Below are 23,111 nucleotides of genomic sequence, written 5' to 3'. Positions count from 1 at the left end.
CCTCCTTCCCCATGCTTACTCTGAGTTAAGAGAACTATTTAAAGAAAAAAATAATCCAAAGAGAACTTTCAAAAACCGCTATCACCTTTTCTACCAAACCACTTATGTGGGTGCAAGATCACATTGCTTTCTTTCCTGCTATCATGAATTAATGACCTATTGTCCCATTAGAGATCATCAGACTTTCCATCTCTACAAGAGGTGCCAAGCCCTCTTATCCACTCAAGAATATTACTCCAGCCAATTCTCCCCCTCTTGCCTATATCGATTTTTTCCTCTCTATTAGATCACTCATATCACCAAACAAACATGCTGTAATTACCTGCATCTTTAAAAAAAAAAAAGTCTTTAGCTCCACAACCCCAACCAGCTATTTCCCCATTTCTGTGCTCTTTATAACAAAACTGTCTTGAAAGAGTTTTCTGTACTCTTCAACAATTACTCAACTACCATTTGCATTTTTATCTGTCCTTTTGCATAAAATATACATAATATAATTTATAGTTTTAACCACTTGTCAATATACAATTCAGTGGCATTTAGTACAAAATATTACATAATTATCCCCACTATATTTTTGCAGAGCTTTTACATCATACTAGGCAGAAACTCTGAACCTATTAAGCACTAACTCAACTCCCCTGTATCCTACAGCCTCTAGCATGTCTATTCTACTCCTGTTTCTGTGATTTTGCATATTCTAAATACCTCATCTGTGATGGTTAATACTGACTGTCAACTTGATTGGACTGAAGGCTGCAAAGTATTGTTCTTGGGTGTGTCTATGAGGGTGCTGCCGAAGGAGTTTAACAATTGAGTCAGTGAACTGGGAGATGCAGACCCATCCTCAATCTGGGTGGGCACCATCTAATCAGCTGCTAGCACAGCTAGGATAAAGCAGGCAGAAGAATGTGGAAGGACTAGACTTGCTGAGTCTTCCGGCCTTCATCTTTCGCCTGTGCTGGATGCTTCCTGCCCTTGAACATCAGACTCCAAGTTCTTCAGCTTTTAGACTTTGGGACTTACACCTGTGGTTTGCCAGGGGCTCTCAGGCCTTTGGCCCACACTGAAAGCTGCACCGTCAGCTTCCCTGCTTTTGAGGTTTTGGGACTCCGACTGATCCATCACTGGCTTACTTGCTCCTCAACTTGCAGACGGCCTATCATGGGACTTTACCTTGTGATCGTGTGAGTCAACTCTCCTTAATAAACTCCCTTTCATACATACATATAGCCTATTAGTTCTGTCCCTCTAGAGAACATCATCTAAGTGGAATCATAAAATATTTGTCCTTTTGTGTCTGGCTTATTTCATTCAGCATAGAGATTTCCAGGTTCATTCATGTTTAGCATGCATCAGAACTTCATTCCTTTTTTTTTTTTTTTTTTTTGAGACGGAGTCTTGCTCTTGTTGCCCAGGCTGGAGTGCAATGGCGTGATCTCAGCTCACTGCAACCTCCGCCTCCCAGGTTCAAGCGAGTCTCCTGCCTCAGCCTCCCGAGTAGCTGGGATTACAGGTACCCACCACCACACCCAGCTTTTTGTATTTTTAGTAGAGACAGGGTTTCAACATGTTGGCCAGGCTGGTCTCAAACTCCTGACCTTGTGATCCACCCACCTCAGCCTCCCAAAGTGCTGGGATTATACGCATGAGCCACCACACCTGGCCAAAATTTCATTTTTTTATGGCTGAATATTATTCCACTGTATGTATATACCACAATTTGTTTATTCATTCATCCACTGATGAACATATGGATTGTTTCCATTTTGGGAGATCACTGAATAGTGCTACTGTGAACATTTATGTTCACCAATTTGTTTGAATACCAGTTTTTTATTCTTTTGAGTACATACCTAGAAATAAAATAGCTAGATTATATGGTAATTCTACGTTTAATTTTTTGTGGAACCACCAAACTATATTCCACAGCAGACGCACTATTTTACATTTCTACCAGTCTTCCCATTTGCTTTTAATCAACTCCAGCAAAGATTCTAACAGTGTCATATCACTGCTCTGCTCAAAATCACCAGTAATTTCCACATTGTCAAATCCAAGGATCCATTCTTACAAATAATCTATTCCCTCCTCTTTAAAACCTTTATGGTACTTACCTTCCAGTCTCTTGGTTTTCTGCCTACAATATTGATCACTTATTCTCAGCTTCCCTTGCTATTTCTTCCTCATCTTTCCAATTTCTTATCATCACAGTGCCTCAGAGCTTGGCTCTAGAACCTCTTTTTTCTATTCTACACTAATTTCAGTCTTAATATGATCATGACTATCAAATATATGCACCTAGGCAAACTTCTAATCTGAATTCTAGATCCATATATCCAACTCTCCACTAAGTTACTCTACTTAAATATACAGCAGGCATCTTAAACCTATCCAAAACTAAATTCCTCATCTTCATCTCAAATCTAGTCTTCTCCCAATCCCAGTCATCTCAAAATGTCACAGCTCAACTCTTCTAGTTGTTTAAGAGCCATCCTTGGATCATCTTTTTTTTTTCATTCATGTCTCATAATAAAATCTATCAGGAAATTCTGCCTATTTGACCTTCAAAACACATCCAAAACACAATCACTTTTCATCACCTCCACTTGCTATCACCCTAGTCCAAGTCATTACCATCTCTTGCTTGAAAATTGCATTCCTATCTATTTCTTTTCCTTACTTTTGCTTTCAACACAGCAGCCACAGTGATCCAGATTAAAATATAACCCAGATCATATAATTCTTCTAAAAACTGGCCAAATATTGTTTATCTCACTCAGAATAAAAGACAAAGTCCTAAAAATGATCTACACAGTTTACAACTTGTGAACCACTCCAAACCTCATCACCCCTCTTATCTTTCATACCACATTCATTCATGATATCTCATGACACTACTGCCCCACTGGCTTCCTTGCTGTTTCTTGAACTCTGGTGCCTTTACATTTGTTATTACTGGAATGTTCATTCTCAAATATCAATAAGGCTTCCTCTTTCACAGGTCTTTGCTTTAATATTCCCTTCATAATAAGGCCTTCCCTGATCATCCCATTTTAAACTGCATAATATCCCCTCTGGTGAAAGCACTCACTATTCCTCTTCCCACTTGATTTTTCTTTCTTTCTTTTTTTTTTTTTTTTTTTTTTTGGAGACAGAGTTTCGCTCTTGTTGCCCAGGCTGGAGTGCAATGGCACAATCTCAGCTCACCACAACCTCCACCTCCCGGGTTCAAGCAATTCTCCTGCCTTAGCCTCCCGAGTAGCTGGGATTACAGGCATGCGTCACCACGCCCAGCTAATTGGGTAATTTTTTTTTTTTTAGTAGAGATGGGGTTTCTCCATATTGGTCAGGCTGGTCTCGAATTCCAGATCTCAGGTGATCTGGCCGCCTCGGCCTCCCAAAATGCTGGGATTACAGGCGTGAGCCACCACGTCTGGCCCCCACTTGATTTTTCTACCTAACCTTTATATTCAATGAACACAATATATATGTTATTTGTTTATAATATCAATTTAAGCTTGAAAAAGCAGGAATTTATATCTGTTCACTCTGGTATCTCTGGAGACAAAACAATGCTTAGACACAGCTGGCATTGAAAATATTTGTTGAATGAATTAAGATATTATTCAGGAATATTACATGTATGGTAATAGCATTATAAAAGTCCAGGAAACAAATAACTCAAAAATTAAGTTTGGGTTATATGTGAGAGGAAGAGAAGGTAAAATATGATCAAAGAAGAACACATGGGGGATCAAAGCTACTAGGAATTTTATATTTATTTTGGCTGAAGTGCAGGGGTACTGGGATTACAGATGTGAGCCACCATGCCTGGCATAATTTTATATTTCTTCAAGTAAAGGGGTATTTACTTTATTATTCTTTAACCTAGACATACACATATTTGTATATATCATATATATTTTTGTATAGATAAGAACAGGTATTTTACATGCATTATGTTAATGGAGGAAGTCGTCAAGTTATGTTAAATACTGCTGGAAAAATAGCTAGAAGAGGACCTAGTTAACAATTTTGTCTTGAAAAGCGAAAGAGATGAGGAAAGAGATAATTATATGTAAACAATCCTTTAAAAAAAAATTTGTTATGAGGCTGGGCGTGATAGCTAACACCTGTAATCCTAGCACATTGGGAGGCCAAAGGGGGAAAAACGCTTGAGCCTAGGAGCGAGACCAGCCTGGGCAACATGGCAAAACCCCAACTCTACAAAATATTAAAAAAAAAAAAAAATTAGCTGGGCACAGTGGCACGTGCCTGTAGTCCCAGCTGCTCGGGAGGCTGAAGTGAGAGGATGTCTTGAGCCCGGGAGGCAGAGGTTGCACTGAGCTGTGATTGCACCACTGCACTCCAGCCTAGGCAACAGAGTCAGACCCTGTCTCAAAAAAAAAAAAAAAAAAAAAAAGAGAGAGAGAGATTGTTATGATTGTTACGAAGGAGAGCACAGAAAGGAAACCGTACCTGACAGGTAAAAGAATTCACGGGAAAATTTTTGCTGTTCCTTTCTTTTTTAATGACAATATTAAGGCATGTTTGTACACCAACTGAATGATTCAATAGGGCAAAAAACTATCCATGAAGCTAATAAAAAAGAAATGTGGAGAATGCCCTAAGAAGACAGGAAGGGATCAGAATTCAAAGATTTCAAGTGGAGGAGCCATGTAATTTTATGAAGTAAGAACTGTTAGACTCTATCTCACATCTACTGAATGCAAAGCAAACTTGAATAAAGCTAGAATTGTACTAACAATCCAAATTTAAGCATTAAAGTTGATAGAGATATAAACAGCAAGAGAAAAGACCTACTTTGAAAGTCACCGTTGCCTTTGTGCAATAAAATCCTATAGAAACAATAGGATCCTTCAAAGTCTGTGCTTTTTGTTGATGCATGGTTGATGCAGGATCGTTCCCAACAAAGTCTTCCTCGCCATCGTCATAACTCACAATTGCAGGCACAAAGGACCAGGCCCATGACACCCATCCCTGTGGCTGCTCCTCATCTTGCTGTGAATATAACTCTTGACCTTTATGCTGAGCAGGATATTGCATATCTATTCTTGTTTCATCTTCAGAACCTATCAATTAAAATTAAGTCATTTTAAATAAGTCAAAAGGATTTAACTAAGAGAATAGAAATAGACATCCTTTAAAATTTTTCCTCCCATATCCTTCTAATATAAGGTATAAACAAATGATACAGTGATTATTACTATTTGAAACCAATAATTTAGCATTATGACTCTCAACTTTCTGTATGTTGTACCGTATCTTTCTCCTTTAGTAGGTTATGGTTAATGTGATGTGGAAAGTAGTTTATCAACTGCACATAACTTTTAACTGTATTTGATAAAGACAAATAATAAATTAATTCTTTAACATCGCTCATGAATGTTTTAAACCAACAACAAAAAACCTACCTCTCAAAAATAAGGCTGATATATTGAAAAACTGACTTTTCTCAGAAACATAATACCACAAAGACCCAAGAAACATTCTTCATTTCCTGATCAGCACCCATGGAGGAAAAAAAAAATGGCAAGTGCTTCTAGGCAAAATGCTCCCCTGCCCAAACAAGAATTATCCCAAAAATGAAAGCAAATATTAGAATAAAACAACTTTTATATGTAGTTAAGAAAAATAATAATGTTGGGGCCTCTTTCTTACTAGCAAGTAAGATATGTTATACCTTTCCTGTTGTACAGCTGAAAAAATTATAGCCAAGAAATTTTATTTGGTTACAAACTGGCAGACCAAAGATTTAGATTCCAACTACTCTTTAATTTATGCCACCTTTGTAAAGACAAACTCCATCAAAGTCCTTTAATATAATTATAGCAATATAAACAAAAGAGGCATCATGAAATTTAGAAAAAAAAATTACTTTTTAAAAATTTCATAGGGGCCAGGAGCAGTGACTCACACCTGTAATCCCAGCACTTTGGGAGGCCAAGGTGGGCAGATCACCTGAGCTCAGGAGTTCGAGACCAGCCTGAGCAACATGATGAAACCCTGTCCCTACTAAAAATACAAAAAAACTGTCCGGGTGTAAAATTCATAGGGGCCAGGATCGGTGACTTAAACCTGTAATCCCAGCACTTTGGGAGGCCAAGGTGGGCAGATTACCTAAGCTCAGGAGTTCGAGACCAGCCTGGGCAACATGGTGAAACCCTGTCCCTACTAAAAATACAAAAAAATTGTCTGGGTGTGGTGGTGTGCACCCATTATGGTCCCAGCAACTTGGCAGGCTGAGGTGGGAGAATCACTTGAATCCAGGAGGCAGGCGTTGCAGTGAGCCATGTTTCATACCACTGCACTGCAGCCTGGGTGACAGAGCAAGACCCTGGACCCTGTCTAAAAACAAAAAACAAACAAAAAAAAAACACCATGGAAAAATTAGTCTCCAGCATATTCACTCATATCTACTCTCCATTGATAAATCTATAAATACACATACTCCTTTAAATCTTTAAATAACATCCTTACAGGTTTTCTTACTCAAAAAGCTTTATAACTTTTTAAACTCTTATGACAGGAGACTCTTGGAACATTCTACATTTATAGGTTATGAATGTTTACCTTCTTTCACCTGAGAAGGAAAAGGCTTAATAAGAATTAACTAGAGTAACTAAAATAACAGTACCAAGACACTTAAGCCATTGTAGTTCAGAATAAGTTTTATATAAGGTGCAAACCCTGTTGGGCCCACTGGCTCATTCCTATAATCCCAGCACTTTGGGAGCCCGAGATGGGAGAATCACATGAAGCCAGGAGTTCAAGAACAGCCTACTGCAACAAAGTGAGACCCCCACCTCAACCAAAAACAAAACAAAACAAAATTTATCAGCCACACTCAGTGTCGTGCACCTGTAGTCCCACCCAGCCACTCGGGAGGCTGAGGCTGGAGGATTGCTTGAGCCCAGGAGTTCAAGGCTGCAGTGAGCTATGATCATGCCATCATACTCCAGCCTAGGCAACAGAGTGAGACTATGTCAATAAATAAATAATAAATACATAAAGTAAAATAAAATTTTTAAAAGACACAAAAAAGCTTTAAATGGACAAATATTTAACACATACTTCACAAAGGCAGATAAAGGCCGATAATCACATTAAAAATTCAAAATAATTAGCCATCAAAAAATGCAAATTAAAAAACCATGAGATACCACAACACACTCATCCCAATGGCAAAAAAGTGAAAAAATACACCATTGAATGTTAGCAAGGATGTAGGCCAACTGCAACTCTCACACATTGTTGATAGGAATATAAAATGGTACAACCACATTGAAAAAAGTTATGGAAGTTTCTTTGAAAACTAAACATATAATTCCACTCTTAAGTATTTACCCAAGAGAAAGAATAGCACATGTCTACGTGAAATTTGTACAAAAATATCTATGAAAGCTTTATTTATAATAGCCAAAAACGAAAAACAGCCCAAGTGTCCATCAAACAGTGAATGGTAAAATAAACTATAGTATATTCACATGGTATATTCATACAGTGTATGTAGCAATGAAAAGGAAAGAACGACTGCTACATGCAACAACATAGATAAATACCAAACACACTATGCTTAATGAAAGAAGCCTTTTATACATATTGAGTGTTTCCATTTATATGAAATTCTAGAATCAGCAAAACTAAATCTACAGTTTTAAGGAACTTCAGAACAGTGTTTTCTCGCGGGGAGGCAGGCAGGTGAAAGGGGAATGACTAGAAAGGGGCATAAGAAACTATCTCAGATGTTAATGACCTATATCTTGATGAGTGTTTTGCATCACACAGGTGTATGTATTTCTCAAACTCATTGAATTTTACTTTGGAGATTTAACCTCCAAAAAAAATAAAAAGACCCACCACTTAGTAGAAACTCTAGATAACAACAGGCAGCTGAGGGTTAGGGGTGAAGTGTAGCAATGTATGTAACTTAATTTGAAAGGCATCAAAAACAATTGTATTGATAAATAGGGAAAGGGATGTTAGATGAACCAATATGTGATGAAGCAATTGTAACAGAATATCAATAGAAGACTCCAGATGATAAGTCTGTGAGTGTTCACCTTATAATAACTCTTACAGCTTTTCCATATATTTGAAATTTGTCAAGTTGGAAAAAAATAAATCAAGTATCTTCTACATGTTATGTTTGTTCCAGGTATAAGACACTGTTTCTGTCTCAGCAATGCATTGTCTAACAAAAATTTACCCTCTAGTGTGAAATAAAGGTATGTTTTATATCTACATACTCTGATTAATGTTGTTCTCTATGCTTTATTTTAAGGTAGTAAGATTTTTTTAATGAGATAAAGTTTAAATAGCATAAAATTCAACATTTAAAGGTGTACAATTCAGTGGGATTTTTTTAATAGTCACAAGTTTTGCTCCTATCACCACTATCTAATTTTAGAACATTTTCATCATTCCAAAAAGAAACCTATTTATTTGCAGTCATTCTCTCCTCCCCGCAACTCCTGGTTACTAATCTACTTCCTGCCTCTACAGAACTGCCTATTATGAACATTTCTAATGGAATCATATCATATGTATTATCTTTTGACTGGCTGCTTTCACTTAAGATAATGCTTTCAAGGTTCATCCATGCTGTAGCCTATATCAGTATTTCATTTTTTTGTACAGCTAAATAATACTCCAATGTATGAATATGCCATAATTTGATAATCCATTCATCAGTTGACAGACATTTCAATTGTGTCCAGTTTTTGGCTACTATGAATATGTTACCATGAACATTTCATATATAAGTTTTTACATGGACATATGTTATCAGTTCTCTTGATATACACGTAGGAATGGAATTGCTGGGTCAACATGGTAACTCTATGTTTCACGTTTTGAAGAACTGCCATATTGTTTTCCAAAGCAACTATACCATTTTACACTCCCAACAACTTATATGAGTTCCAGTTTCTCCACATCCTCACCAATACCTGTTATTTTGTATTTTTTTTTATTATAGTCATCTAGTACCTGTGAAGTGGTATCTCACTGAGGTTTTGATTTGCTTGTTTGCTATTTGTTTACCTTCTTTGGAGAAATGTCTCTTTGCCCATTTTTAATTGGGTTATTTGCCCCTAAGTTTTAAATGCCCTTCTCTTAGGGCTTTATCTATGGAAATTAATCACCTGAAAACTTTCTGAGTCTCAGGCCCAATACCAAGTTGAAATCAGTCATCCTTTCATCTTTCTACATCAGATCATTCATGATATTTATCAAACTTTCTGCCATTCTACCATTCATCATACTTAACTAACTACTGACATGTCTATCTGTCCCATTTTATCTTAAAATTCTAAGGGAAAGAAATACATCAAAATGATTTCTGTATTTTCCCACATTACATATCCTTCAATGAAGTATACATTTCATTAATTAACAGCACTAAAATAACTCAATTCAACTTAAGTGAACTTTTGCAGAAAAATTACCAATACTATTATTTACTAGGAAATCTTGAGGTATACTACTTCAACTTTTATCAAATGTATATCCTGGGTCAGGCATGGTGGCTCATGCCTGTAATCCCAGCACTTTGTGATGCTGAGGCGGGCAGATAGCTTATGCCTAGGAGTTTGAGACCAGCCTGGGCAACATAGCAAAACCCTGTCTCTACAAAAAATGCAAAAATTACCCAGGCATGGTGGCATGTACCTGTAGCCCTAACTATTTGGAAGGCTGGGGTAGAAGGATCACCTGAGCCTGGGAGGTCGCGGCTGCAGTGACCCATGATCATGCCACTGCACTCCAGCCTGGGTGACAGAGCAAAACCCTCATTCATAAATAAATAAGTAGTACATTCTGAACACTTATATCTATTATAAATATAGAAGTTATTTTTAGCATATAGGAGAAAATCAGAATGTTATCCAGCATGTAGATAAAATTAAAGTAGTGTAGGCTGGGCACAGTGGCTCATGCCTGTAATCCCAGCACTTTGGGAGGCTGAGGCGGGCAGATCACAAGGTCAGGAGTTTGAGACCAGCCTGGCCAACATGGTGAAAACCCATCTCTACTAAAAAAAAAAAATACAAAATTACACAGGCGTGGTGATGCATGTCTGTAATCCCAGCTACTTGGGAGGCTGAGGCAAGAGAACTGCCTGAACCTGAGAGGCAGAGGTTGCAGTGAGCCATGATTGCACCACAGCACTCCAGCCCAGGCAACAGAGCTAGTCTCCATCTCAAAACAAAACAAACAAAAAAATTAAAATAGTGTAAAACAACCAAAAAACAATCAGCCCATCTCATTAGAATACTGTAAAACTCAAGCTAATACATTTTTTAAAGTTTCCCAATGGTAAAACGTAAGAATAGTCTTAAAATAAAGTTTTTGTTTAATAAAGTTTTACATTACCTGTAATGTTTCCTAGCATATCTTTATTATGACAAGTAAGGTCCTCTATTTCGCCTTCTTTAAAATTGCCTATTTCTCCATAGTAAAGAGCAATTCCAAGTTGCATTATACGAATAAACATAGGCAGTTGTTGATCTGTGATAGAAAGTTTCAAACTTTCCACTAAAGTATGAATCTGCATTTTGAAAAAGACATAACACCAACAAACGCATGTTTAAAAAGAGTATTTTTTACATAAAGAAATGTTTTAAAGTCTTTAAATGGCATAACATAAAAGAAATGCTCCAAACATTTTAATACTTAAATCAAAACAATACTTACTCTAAGATCTTAGGAATTAAGTAAATTTTGCTATGATGATCAATACACGTTAGATAGAAACGATATTAAACCAAATGATGTACATACAAATGGAATTAATAGTGAGAAGGTATAATCACACTAGATTTCCAGATTACTATTCCAGAAACAAAGTTAGTTATATAACCAAATAGCTACTCTATAACATTAAGAGAATAACAGTATTATCCTCAAAAAACAGAACAATCTGTCAAAACCAAGAATAATAAAAATTTTATGTCATTTTAGTGAAACTCTAATCATTCTTTCCAGGTTTATTAACCATAAAGAATACATATACATCCTAAAACCATATGTTAACTGGGGAAAAGACTAGTATTACAACTATGAAAGTATGTAAATAATAAAAATTTTTGTCAAATATGGAAAAACAAGTGAAATATATGTTGAAAAAAGTTTTTCAGACAAATTTTAAGTAAGATTTAAATAACAAAAGTTTTCCAAATTGTAGATAAGATTTAAATGACATAAAACTTATTCAACTGATAAAATGAAACCATTATAACAAAGAAATAAGATTAACTACTAGCAAATAGGATATACAGCAATCAAAGCTCTCCTTAAAGAAAGAGACATCAGTGGAATATAAACACAACTTCAGTGTAATGGTTTCCTGCTGTTATCTAAACACGGAGTAAAACCAATTATGCCATAAAGTCAAGTCTCTTAGAAGGTTTATTTTGACTAATGTATTTCAGTGTCTATGAAAGATGAAGTAATAGTAATGGTAATCATCGTATTTTTAGGGTGCAAAGCACATAAAAAAATGTATGTGAAGGGGGAGAAAACTATATGGGGGGACTGTGAAATACCATATTTCAAATATGAGCACAAGCTTTTAAAAACTGACCTAATAATCATACACTGAATAAACAATGAAGAGGTAAGAAAGCGGGGAATGAGTGTGGGAGGTGAGCAGGAAAGGAGTATGCATGTCTGCTAAGGTTTCCTTAATTTGAAATTCCTCTGTCACATTCTTTTAAATCTTGTATTGCACCAATAGCACTGGTAATAAGCAGTCAGCAAAACCAATAACAAAGAATCTGTCATAAGTATCTTTTTAAAAGCTCCTTAAAATGAGTAAGATTAATACTCAGTAGAAAAATGGATAAAGAACCTGAACTGATAATACAAAGAACAAATGACCAGTGAATGTGTTTTCAAAAATCTAACTTCACTAATAAACGGCAATTAAATTACATATCATTTGTTGTTCAACAAGTTGGCAATTTTTAAAATATGATCATATTTAAGGATAATAAGAGTATGACATAGGCACTCCCCTTAATGTTCATGTGAGTATAACCTGGTTAAATCTTTCTGGAAACAATCTGGCAATACAGATCACAGGTCTTAAAAAAAAAAAAAAGATATTTGCAATTATACAAATCTTTCCTAAGGAATTACTCAGGAAATGTGGTCAAAGTTCTATGCACAGAATTTCACTGCTCTGAGAAACTGCAAAGTAAATTTCTAAAAACAGGAGAAATGTTAAATAAATTACGTACCCATAGGATCTGTATCTCATAAACATCATAATCACCAGAACGTATGTATCTCACACAAAAAAAATGGAAAATTATAAAAAGCCAACCCAACATATAAATACATTCAAAATAAACATACATGAAAGATTTGAAAAGAAATAGAGGGGCCAGGCGCAGTGACTCATGCCTGTAATCCCAGCACTTTGGGAGGCTGAGCCAGGCGGATCATGAGGTCAGGAGTTTGAGACCAGCCTGGCCAAAAGGGCAAAACCCTGTCTCTACTAAAAATACAAAAATTAGCCAGGCCTGGTGGCCGGCGCCTGTAATCCCAGCTACTCGGGAAGCTGAGGCAGGAGAATCACTTGAACCCGGGAGGCAGAGGTTGCAGTGAGCCGAGATCATGCCATTGCACTCCAGCCTGGTCAACAAGAGCAAGACTCCGTCTCAAAAAAAAAGAAGAAAAGAAATATAGTATCTGGAACATTTTGAGAAACCTCTGTGAAGTAATTAATGAGGTCGACCATATCTGTTTAATACATATTCCCTAGGATTAGGACTTGGAAGAATGATGGGTCTAACCCAAAATGGCAAATCTTAACATTACAATAGTATTAACAAAAAACTCAGGCAGGCATGGTGGCTCATGCCAGGAATCCCAGCACTTTGGGAGGCCTAGACAAGAGAATTACTTGAAGCTAGGAGGTTCAGTATCAGCCTGGGCTGCACAGTGAGACTCCGTCTCTACAAAAAAACAATTTAAAATGAGCCAGGGATGGAGACATGCGCCTGTAGTCCTAGCTACTTAAGAGCCTGAGACAGAAGGATCGCTTGACCCCAGGAGTTCAAGGTTACAGTGAAGTATGATTGTGCCACTGCACTCCAGCCTGGGTGACAGGGAGCCTCGAAGGTAAAGAAAAAAGGAGAAAGAAAAAAGGAGAGAAAGCGGAGGAGAGGGGAGGGAAACAGAGGGGAGGGGAAGGGTGGGGAGAGGGAGAGGAGGGGAGAAAAAAGAAAGAGAGAAAAGAAAAGAAGAAAGAAATAAAACCTCCAAAATTGATTTCAGTTGAGTATAACACATTGATATCACATATTTGGCAACTATTATACAAGTTTATTTATGATAAGGGACTTTTTCAGTGAAATGTAATGACTAATCAGTTTTGAGAACACAAACTTACTTATATGCCAACACTAAGTTTTTCCTCATCTATTTTTACCTTCCTCTAATATAACCACATCCTAGAATAGACCATTACATTTGCACTAATGATCAAAAAGAGTATTTTATATAGTAAGCTTCCATATATCCATTACTTGCTTTCAATGTATCTTCAATTTACCTTCACATTCCCCAAATTTACTAGAAAACCCAAGGCTATAGAAAATAAGCGTATTTCCCTGAGACAGAGCCATCACTATTACTGAGTTAATTCTTTTCCATGTTTATCTTTGCCAAAGAAGCTAATTCAAATATAGAAGGAAAAAGTAACAGAATATAAACAAACCAATATGCATTATACACCGTGTGGAAAAAAGTAAAACACAGGTGACTAAGCACTACCAAGAAAAAAACATGTAGATTTTACATATTAAGTACAGTAAGGCTACGTAAAATAGAAAATACTATATTTTTAATAAAATATAAGGTAACAAAAACAAAACTAATTTTTATACAGCCATACTCAAACAGGAACAGTAGTTAATACCAGTGTTCAGACACCTAAGTCCAGCCCTTCCATCTACAGAACTTTGACAGTCAGAGGCAAGTAGTTCAACAATAAACATTTACTCCACATTAAAACCTACTTAATGGGATCAGAAGTCACTGAATTCTTTTTCCAAGATACAATGATAGGCAGACAAACAATGTTCAGAAAACTGTTAAATAAGACAACAATATTTATGCTTAGATACTAATCACATACATTGAAAACATACACTACATTGGACAGAAAATTTTCACATGTATCAAAAGACATGTCCTGTTCTCACTTAGAAGTGGAAGCTAAATCTTGGGTACACATGGACATAAAGATGGGAACAACAGACAGTGTGGATTCTAAAAGGAGGGAAGGAGGGAGAGGAAAAAAGGGCTGAAAAACTTCCTTTTGGGTACTATGTTCACTATCTGGATGATGGTATCAGTGGGAGCCCAAACCTAAGCATCACACAATATACCCTTGTAACAAATCCCTTAATCTTAAATGAAAATGCAGATAAAAAATAAAAAGACATGTCCTGAATAACTCCCTAAGATTTTAATTACATTTTAAAAATCATAAATCAAAAGCTAAAACTTCTTGAACCAATAAACTATTAGGTTAGTATATCAAGCTTTACGAAGTCACCTAGTAAAGAGAAGAAAAAGTATAGATAGCAGATCATGCTGAACAGATTATAAGAACTGAAATACAGAATACTGATATGCAGTCCACTGTGGGTATAAATATACCTTTTAATATTATTTCCTCTATCTACTTGAAGAGAGAAACACTAATAAACAGCTGGAAAAACTAAAAAAAAACAATTACAGAAAAAAGTTGTCTCTAAACTCTAGTAGAATACGTTATACAGAAATGTATAAATACAACATAAAAATCATAAACATAAATAAAATTTTTATAAAAACAAATGGCATACATATTTACAAGGTTAATTTCTTCATTTGTTAATAATGATTAGCATCCACAAGAGTCAATAAACAAAATAAAGACATGCAACTTAACTGCAAAAAAAAGAGATACCTACTTTAATAACAGATGGCATCTTGGAATTTAGGTTTTCATATGTAAAATGAAGACGAGTTCTGAAGGAACATTTGTATAATAAAGGATCCTGGTAAAATTCTATTTTACCACTGGCATTCCGTTTATCAAGACAAACTGTACAGTCAGAAAAATTGATAACCTTTCTCAGCACCAAATCAGTTGCTAAAAAGAAAAAAAAACATTTTAAGTAAAAAGGAAAATTAGCAGGGGAAAGGCAACTATTATTTATTAGTATAAATAGTAATAAAATTAATAATAACAGAAAATAAGATTCATGGAGCATTTAATACATAATGCCAGACCATATGCAATGAACTTTTCATTTTATTATACAATTTAAATCTTCCAACAACTTTATGAAATAGGCACAATTCTCCCCATTTTATATATGAAGAATCAGAGACCTAATTAGTTTGCCCCAATCTGCATGGCACATTAACTACAAATTTTTTTTAATTATGAAAAATTTCACTACAGTTCTCTTACACAATGAGATAACAATAAAATTCTTAAGAATCCACATTAAAGATAATTTTTTGAAGAAGTCATTCATTTAACATTCATTTTATATTAAAAAAAACTCACTGCTACTCTAAACTTGCACTATCCAATATGGTAGCCACCAGCCATATGTGGCTATTTAAATTAATTAAAATTATATAAAAATAAAAATTAAGGTCCTTGGTTGCACTAGCTATATTTCAAGTGCTCAACAGCCACATGTGGCTAGTGGCTACCATATTGGAGAGAGAAGATATAAAACACTTGTATTATCACAGAAAGGTCTAGTGGACACCACCACATTAATTAATAAAGAAATCACCAATAACACTCTAGAGTATATTTTCAAAGGAATAAAAATAAAACAATTGATGGTAAAGTATAAAAGTATGAAATGAAGCCTTTAGCAAATCAATATTTCTTATTTCTTAACTGATAAGCAATTCCTAGGTAAATATCAGGCCCAAATCTACTTGCCCAGTGATTTTAAGTTAGCCATGGGAATTTAAAAAACAATAAAATGTGTTTTAGTTCAGGTTATAACACTATTTCTGAGTATATCCTGGCAACTTCTAATTAATTCAACATTTTATTTTATAAGTTTTTAAAAAGTAGAAATTAAAGAAGATGTGTCTAAACAGTATTATTTGCAGATAAATTTCAAAGTTGTCTGTTAGTTGAAAAAGACATATGACTACCATATTTCAAATTTACATATTATATGAATAATGATTTAGTTACTAATATTATATATGTACACAAATTAAGAAATTACAATAGTAGGACCAGAAATGAGAAAAAAAAAGATATCCTGTAGATGTTTCCTTCCCTCTCTTTATGATAACAATTATCATTTTCTGAGTATTTGCTATTACTCAGATACTACACTAAGTCTTTTACATCTCTTATCTGACAATATTTACACGGTCCTGTTAAAAAATGTGAAAACTGAGGCACAGTGGTAATAGTCTGTCTATTGTTATACAGTTTATAAAGATCAGAGCTGTAATTCAAACTCTGGCAACCTTACTGCAGAGTGCATGTTCTTATCTACTTTGCTATAAGAATGTAAGCTATTCAGGCCAGGCATGGTGGTTCATGCCTATAATCCCAGCACTTTGGGAGGCCTAGGCGGATTGCTTGAGGCCAGGAGTTCAAAACCAGCCTGGGCAAAGTGGTGAAACACCATCTCTACTACAAATACAACAATTAGCTGGGTGTGGTGGCAAATGCAGAAAATCACAGCTACTCAGGTGACTGAGGCACAAGAATGGCTTGAACCCAGGGGTGGAGCTTGCAGTGAGCCAAGATCACACCACTGCACTCCAGCCTGAACAACAGAGTTAAGACTCTCTCTTAAAAAAAAAAAAGAAAGAAAGAAAAAGTGAAGTATTCAAATTTCAAGGATACCCTAGACCCTAGACAATTATTATTCAGTGAAAGAGGACATTACTGTTTTAAAGGTATTTTTTCTTAAACACAAAATATAACAGCAACTATATTTCAAAAACTTAGAAAATGAATTCTAGTTTCTGGTACTTACTTTAGAAATGTGCTACAATTTAATCAGTAAAATATTATTCATCACTGAAATTAGGGCTCTACAACTATATACACCAATATATAGAAATATTAAAAGCATAGTATTGATTGAAAACAACAAACCCAAAATACAACATATAAGAATACTATTTTTAAAAAGAGGTTAGGAAGCTTATTCAAAGAAATAGAGAAAACTTCCAAAACCTGGAAAAAGCAATCAAAGAAAAGCCTAAGACCTTTGGATTCACTGTCATATTCTACCAAACATTTAAAGAACTAATACCAATATTCACAAACTGTTCCAAAAAATTGAAGTGGAGGGAATTCTTCCAAAATCATTTCCATACTATCCAAAGCAATCTACGAAATCAATGCAATCCCTATCAAAATACCAATGACATTTTTTCACAGACATAAGAAAAAACAATCCTAAAATTTTTATGGAACCACAAAGACCCTAAATACTCAAAGCAACCCCAAGCAAAAAGAACACAGCTAGAGGCATCATACTCCCTGACTTTAAAATATACTAAAAGCAATAATAACCAAAACAGTACGGTACTGGCATAAAAAAAGACACATAGCCCAATGGAATAAAATCAAAAACCCAGAAATGAATCCATGCATTTACAGCCAACTGATTTTCTATATAGGGGCCAAGAAAACACACTGAGGAAAAGAACAGTCTCTTCAATAAATGGTGCTGGGAAAACTGGATATCTATATGCAGAAGAACAAACCTAGACCCTTATCTCTCACTATTTAAAAAAATCAACTCGAGATAGATTAAAGACTTAAATGTAAGACCTGACATTGGTCTAGGCAAAGAATTTATGACTAAGACCTCAAAAGCATAGGCAACACGCTTATGAATATAAATCTTTCTACCATAAAGACACGCACATGTGTATGTTCATTGCAGCACTATACACAATAGCAAAGACATGGAATCAACCTAGATGCCCAACAACAGTGAAGTAGATAAAGAAAATACAAGACGTATCCACCATCGAATACTACATAGCCATAAAAAAGGATGAAATCATGTCCTTTGCAGCAATATGGATAGAGCTGGAGGGCATTATCCTAGGCAAATTATGCAGGAACAGAAAACCAAACACTGCATGTTCTCAATTATAAGTGGGAGCTAAGCACTGAGTATACATGGACACAAAGAAGGCAACAATAAATACCAAGGCCTACTTGAGGGTGGAGGGTGGGAGCAAGGTAAGAATCAAAAGACTAACCATTAGGTACTATGCTCATTACTTGAGTGACAGAATAATCTGTACACCAAATGCATGCAACATGCAATTTACCCAAGTAACAGACCTGCACATGTACCCTCTCAACCTAAAATACAACTTGGAAAGGAATAAAAAGAAATATTAATTCTCACAGATAGTATGGATGGTAATAAATTGATTTAATCATTTTAGAGAACAATTCAGCAATATAAAACATAACTGAATGTTTACATATGCAGTTATTCTTTTCCTGATCATAATTTACAGAATTCAAACACGTAACAAGGAAACATAAAAAAGGATGTACATTCCAGCACTATGGGCAATGTCAATATTTTAGAACAACTTGAATGTCAACCACATGGGAGATGATAGGATTCTGCCTCTAATAGTAGAAAAGATTAGATATTCTGAAGACCTTTATACTGAAATAAAAGTCTTGGAAATTATAAAAAAAAAATACGTAAGGGGAAGGAATGAGTTAAAGGAGAAGGAATAGATAGATGGCCCAATTATTTTATTTTTTAATCCATTATGGCAAGTATTTAGTGCAATCTGATTTGGTGTTAATTGAACATCTTATGTTTATTGGTCTTTGGGGTATACTCTTTTTTACGTGTTTGTTCAAGTCTCTTGTCCATTTTTCTACTGAGTTGTCTATTCTTTTCTTATTGATTTATAGAAGTTATATATTGTGGATATAAGTATGTTGCAAATTTTAAGTATCAAGAATATACACTTCCATCTGTGGCTTGCCTTTTTACCCTCACAAAGATATTACAATTCTTATTTTAACTGCAATATTTTAATACAGCCTCGTGCATTACTTGTTAGTAAAAAAATGGCATTACTATTATGAAAAAACTATTTGTCAGTATCTCTGAAGCTTAACATAGGCCTACACTATGACCCAGTAATTTCACTCCTAGGCATATACCCAACAGAAATGTATGTATATGTCCACCAAAGGACATGTATGAAAATGTTCGCTATAGCATTATTCATTATAGCCAAAACTGGACATAATTAAATCTATATCAATGGTACACTGAGCAAAAAAATGTTTTATTCACAACACAGACCAGACCTGCAAACTCGCCATCCCACATATATCCAGGAAAGACCAGTGCAGGCAGAACCCCAACCCTTGCTCACCTGATTGTGCAGGGAGAGGGAATAGATATATACACGCAGAACTGAACTATTGTTACAGACGAAAACCTGAATAAATTTCATTTACATAATATTGAGCAAAATAATCTAGGCCCAAAATACATATGGTTCCATTCATACAAAAATTTAAAAAGAGTCCAAACCCTACTATGGTGTCAGATGTCAGTAAAGTGGTTGCTTTGGGGAAAGAAGGGGCAGTAGTAAGTGAGTATATGTACAACAAGCACTTCTGGGTGCTGATATTGTTCAATTTCTTGAGCTTGGTGGTGGTTACAAGAGTATGTTCATTTTGTGGTATGTCGTTTAGCTATATGGGTTTTTTGTTTGTTTGTTTGTTTTGGGTTTTTTTTTTTTTTTTTTTTGAGGTGGAGTCTCACTCTATCGCCAAGGCTAGAGTGCAGTGGCACAATTTCGACTCACTGCAGCCTCCGCCTCCTGGGTTCAAGTGATTCTCCTGCCTCAGCCTCCCAAGTAGCTAGGATTACAGGCACCTGCCACCGTGCCCAGCTAATTTTTTTTGTATTTTTAGTAGAGATGGTGTTTCACCATGTTGGCCAGGCTGGTCTCAAACTCCTGACCTCAGGGGATCCGCCCGCCTCAGCCTCCCAAAATGCTGGGATTACAGGCGTGAGCCACCACACCCGGCCAGCTATGTGTTTTTGCTTAATGCTCTTTCTTTCTTGCATGTTATGCTTCAATTAAAAAAAATTATTTAAAAAAAAACTAATAAAAGGGAAAATAATAGTTTCTTCCTCAGAGAGTTAAAGGGTTAAACAAGATAATTAATATAAAATATGTAACACTAGCCCTGGTACTAAATAAACAGAAGATACTATTTTCACTGTCTTTATCACCACCATCATCATGAGCTTTCATATGGTATATTTGCTTCTGAAGAGTACACTGGCAAGTTAGAAGCAGTCATTTTATAAATGACTCACCCAAGTTTGCACTGTAAATTAGCAGTGGAGAGAAGATTCAAACTAAGATCTTCCAACTCCTGATCCAGAATTCTAATTCACTATAAATAATTTCCCAAAGTAAAACTGGCATTGCTTCTATACTAAATTAAATTTCTATACCATACTAAATTGCTTCTATACTAAAATTAAATTTCTGGGTGGGCACAGTGGCTCATGCCTGTAATCCCAGCATTCTAGGAAGCTGAGGCAGGCAGATCACTTGAGGTCAGGAATTCAAGACCAGACTGGCCAACATGGTGAAACCCCGTCTCTACCAAAAATATAAAAATTAGCCAGGCATGCTGGCAGGCGCCTAGAGTCCCAGCTACTTGGGAGGCTGAGGCAGGAGAATCGCTTGAACCCGGGAGGCAGAAGTTGCAGTGAGCCAAGATTGCGTCACTGCACTTCAGCCTGGGTGACAGAGCGAGACTCTGTCTCAAAAAAATTAATTAATTAATTAAAATAAAATTTCTTCACCACAAATGTCAACTCATTAATACAATCCTACATTGTCCAGTTCTATTTGTTTTCTATTTTCCATAGCTGCTTCTTCCAGCCTTTTAATCAAATATTTCTTTCCACAGAAGATGCAAAGGAGGCATTAACGATATATAAGAAATGATGCTTGGGCCTTACCTACACTTTTATGCTCACAACAAAGTTGTAAAATCAGGACTACTCTCCTTTTGTTAAATGTGAAGACTAAAGCTTAGAAAACACATAATAATAAAACTCTATTCCAGTTCTGCTACTTCCTAGTTGTATGCCTTAATCAGGCAAGTTAAATACTCTTGAGACTCAATTTCACTTTGCTTTAACCCTTTAACTGGGATTTATGATGAATAAAGGAATATATGACTAAACATTAAAAAGAGATAAAAACAGGCTTCAGGATAATCAAGAAATTCCAGGGCTATCATGGTGGCTCACACCTGTAATCCCAACACTTTGGGAGGCCAAGGTGGGTGGATCACTTAAGCCAAGGAGTTTGAGACCAGCCTGGGCAACAGGGCAAAACCCCATCTCTACAAAAAAATACAAAAATTAGCCAGGCATGGTAGTGCACGCCTGTGGTCCCAGCTACTTGGGAGGCTAAGATGGGAGGATCACCTGAGCCCAGGAAGTCGAGGCTGCAGTGAGCCAAGGTAGCACCACTGCACTCCAGCCTGGGCAACAGAATGAGACCCTTTCTCAAAAAGGAAAGGGGGAAGAGGGAAAGGGGCAGGGGAGAAGCAAGGAAAGGGAAGGGAGGATGAAAGGGAGAGGGGAGGGGGGACGGTGGGGAGAGGGGAGGAAAAGAAGGAAGAAATTCCAAATGTGCTTTGGAACACACAAGCCTAAAACATAAATCAATCAGATATATTGCCTTGCCTTCACCAAGCTTTGTAAATGAAACATGATGCCTTTCACCTTTCAAAAACATAAACAATTCAAACTAAATATCATTTAACTTTTATTGCTACAACCCATGGCACTATAAAATATAGTCATGCACTGCATAACAATACCTAAGTCAACAACAGACTATATATCTATGATGGCTGTCCCATAAGATTATAATACTATATTTTTACTATACCTTTTCTGTTTTTAGATACACAAATACCACTGTGTTACAACTATCTACAATACTCAGCACAGTAACATGCTGTACAGGTTTGCAGCCTAGGAGCAATAATAGCCAATACCATATACCTGAGGTTGTGTACTGGCTATACCATCTAGGTTTGTGTAAGTACACTCTATGATGTTTGCATAACAACAAAATCGCCTAAGATGCATTTCTCAGAATATGTCCCTGTTGTTAAGCAATGCATGACTGTATTATACATCACATTTGAAACAAGCATGTGGCAAGTAAGAAAGAATGAAAATTAAAAGTATTAAAAAACAAGTATAGGCCAGGTATGGTGGCTCATTCCTGTAATCTCAGCACTTTGAGGGGCCAAGGCAGGCAAATCGCTAGAGCTCAGGAGTTCAAGACCAACCTGGGCAATGTGGCAAAACCTTGTCTCTACAAAAAAACACAAAAATTTGGCCAGGCGCAGTGGCTCACATCTGTAATCCCAGCACTTTGGAAGGCGGAGGCGGGTGGATCACAAGGTCAAAAGATGGAGACCATCCTGGCTAACATGGTGAAACCCCATCTCTACTAAAAATACAAAAAATTAGCCGGGCATGGTGGCAGGTGCCTGTAGTCCCAGCTACTCGGGAGGCTGAGGCAGAAGAATGGTGTGAACCCGGGGAGGTGGAACTTGCAGTGAGCCGAGATTGAGCCACTGCACTCCAGCCTGGGCGACAGAGCAAGACTCCATCTCAAAAAAAAAAAAAAAAAAAAAAAGCCGGGCATAGCAGCATGTGCCTGTAGTCTCAGCTACTCAAGAGTCTGAGGTGAGAGGATTGTTTGAGCCCGGGAGGCAGAGGTTGCAGTGAGCTGAGATCACACCACTGCACTCCAGCCTGGGCAACAGAGCCAGACCCTGTCTCAAAAACAAACAAACAAAAACCACAAGTATAGATTTCTGAATTTGGAGTGTCTACTAACCTCCTGTAATTATATGCAACATTTTGTATATGTGCATTTTTTTCCCACACTGGAGGCATGAAGATTTGATAACATTTACCAGCAACTCAGTTGGCCCAAAGAAGGGTTAAGAGTTAAGGTAATTGTTT

General features: G+C 36.3%; 1 protein-coding gene across 5 annotated transcripts in view; it reads right to left on the bottom strand.

The window, feature by feature from the left end:
• The window catches only part of VPS13B (vacuolar protein sorting 13 homolog B), an 864,307-nt gene that overhangs the window by 751,308 nt on the left and 89,888 nt on the right, over positions 1-23,111 (bottom strand). For 3 of the 5 annotated variants that reach the window (NM_152564.5, NM_017890.5, NM_015243.3), the window contains exons 6-8: positions 14,994-15,175; positions 10,399-10,573; positions 4,828-5,096 (exon numbers count right to left, since the gene is read on the bottom strand). In NM_152564.5, the coding sequence (NP_689777.3) occupies positions 4,828-5,096; positions 10,399-10,573; positions 14,994-15,175 (626 nt within the window). Of the gene's footprint in view, positions 1-4,510; positions 5,097-10,398; positions 10,574-14,993; positions 15,176-23,111 lie in introns of those variants that run through there. The other 2 variants (NR_047582.2, NM_181661.3) reach the window with 1 other exon arrangement.

This window comes from Homo sapiens, chromosome 8 (assembly GCF_000001405.40).
Source record: "Homo sapiens chromosome 8, GRCh38.p14 Primary Assembly".
NCBI classification, from domain to species: Eukaryota; Metazoa; Chordata; class Mammalia; order Primates; family Hominidae; genus Homo; species Homo sapiens.
Note: the sequence above shows the minus strand (reverse complement) of the source record. Positions and strands in the feature narration are given on the sequence as shown.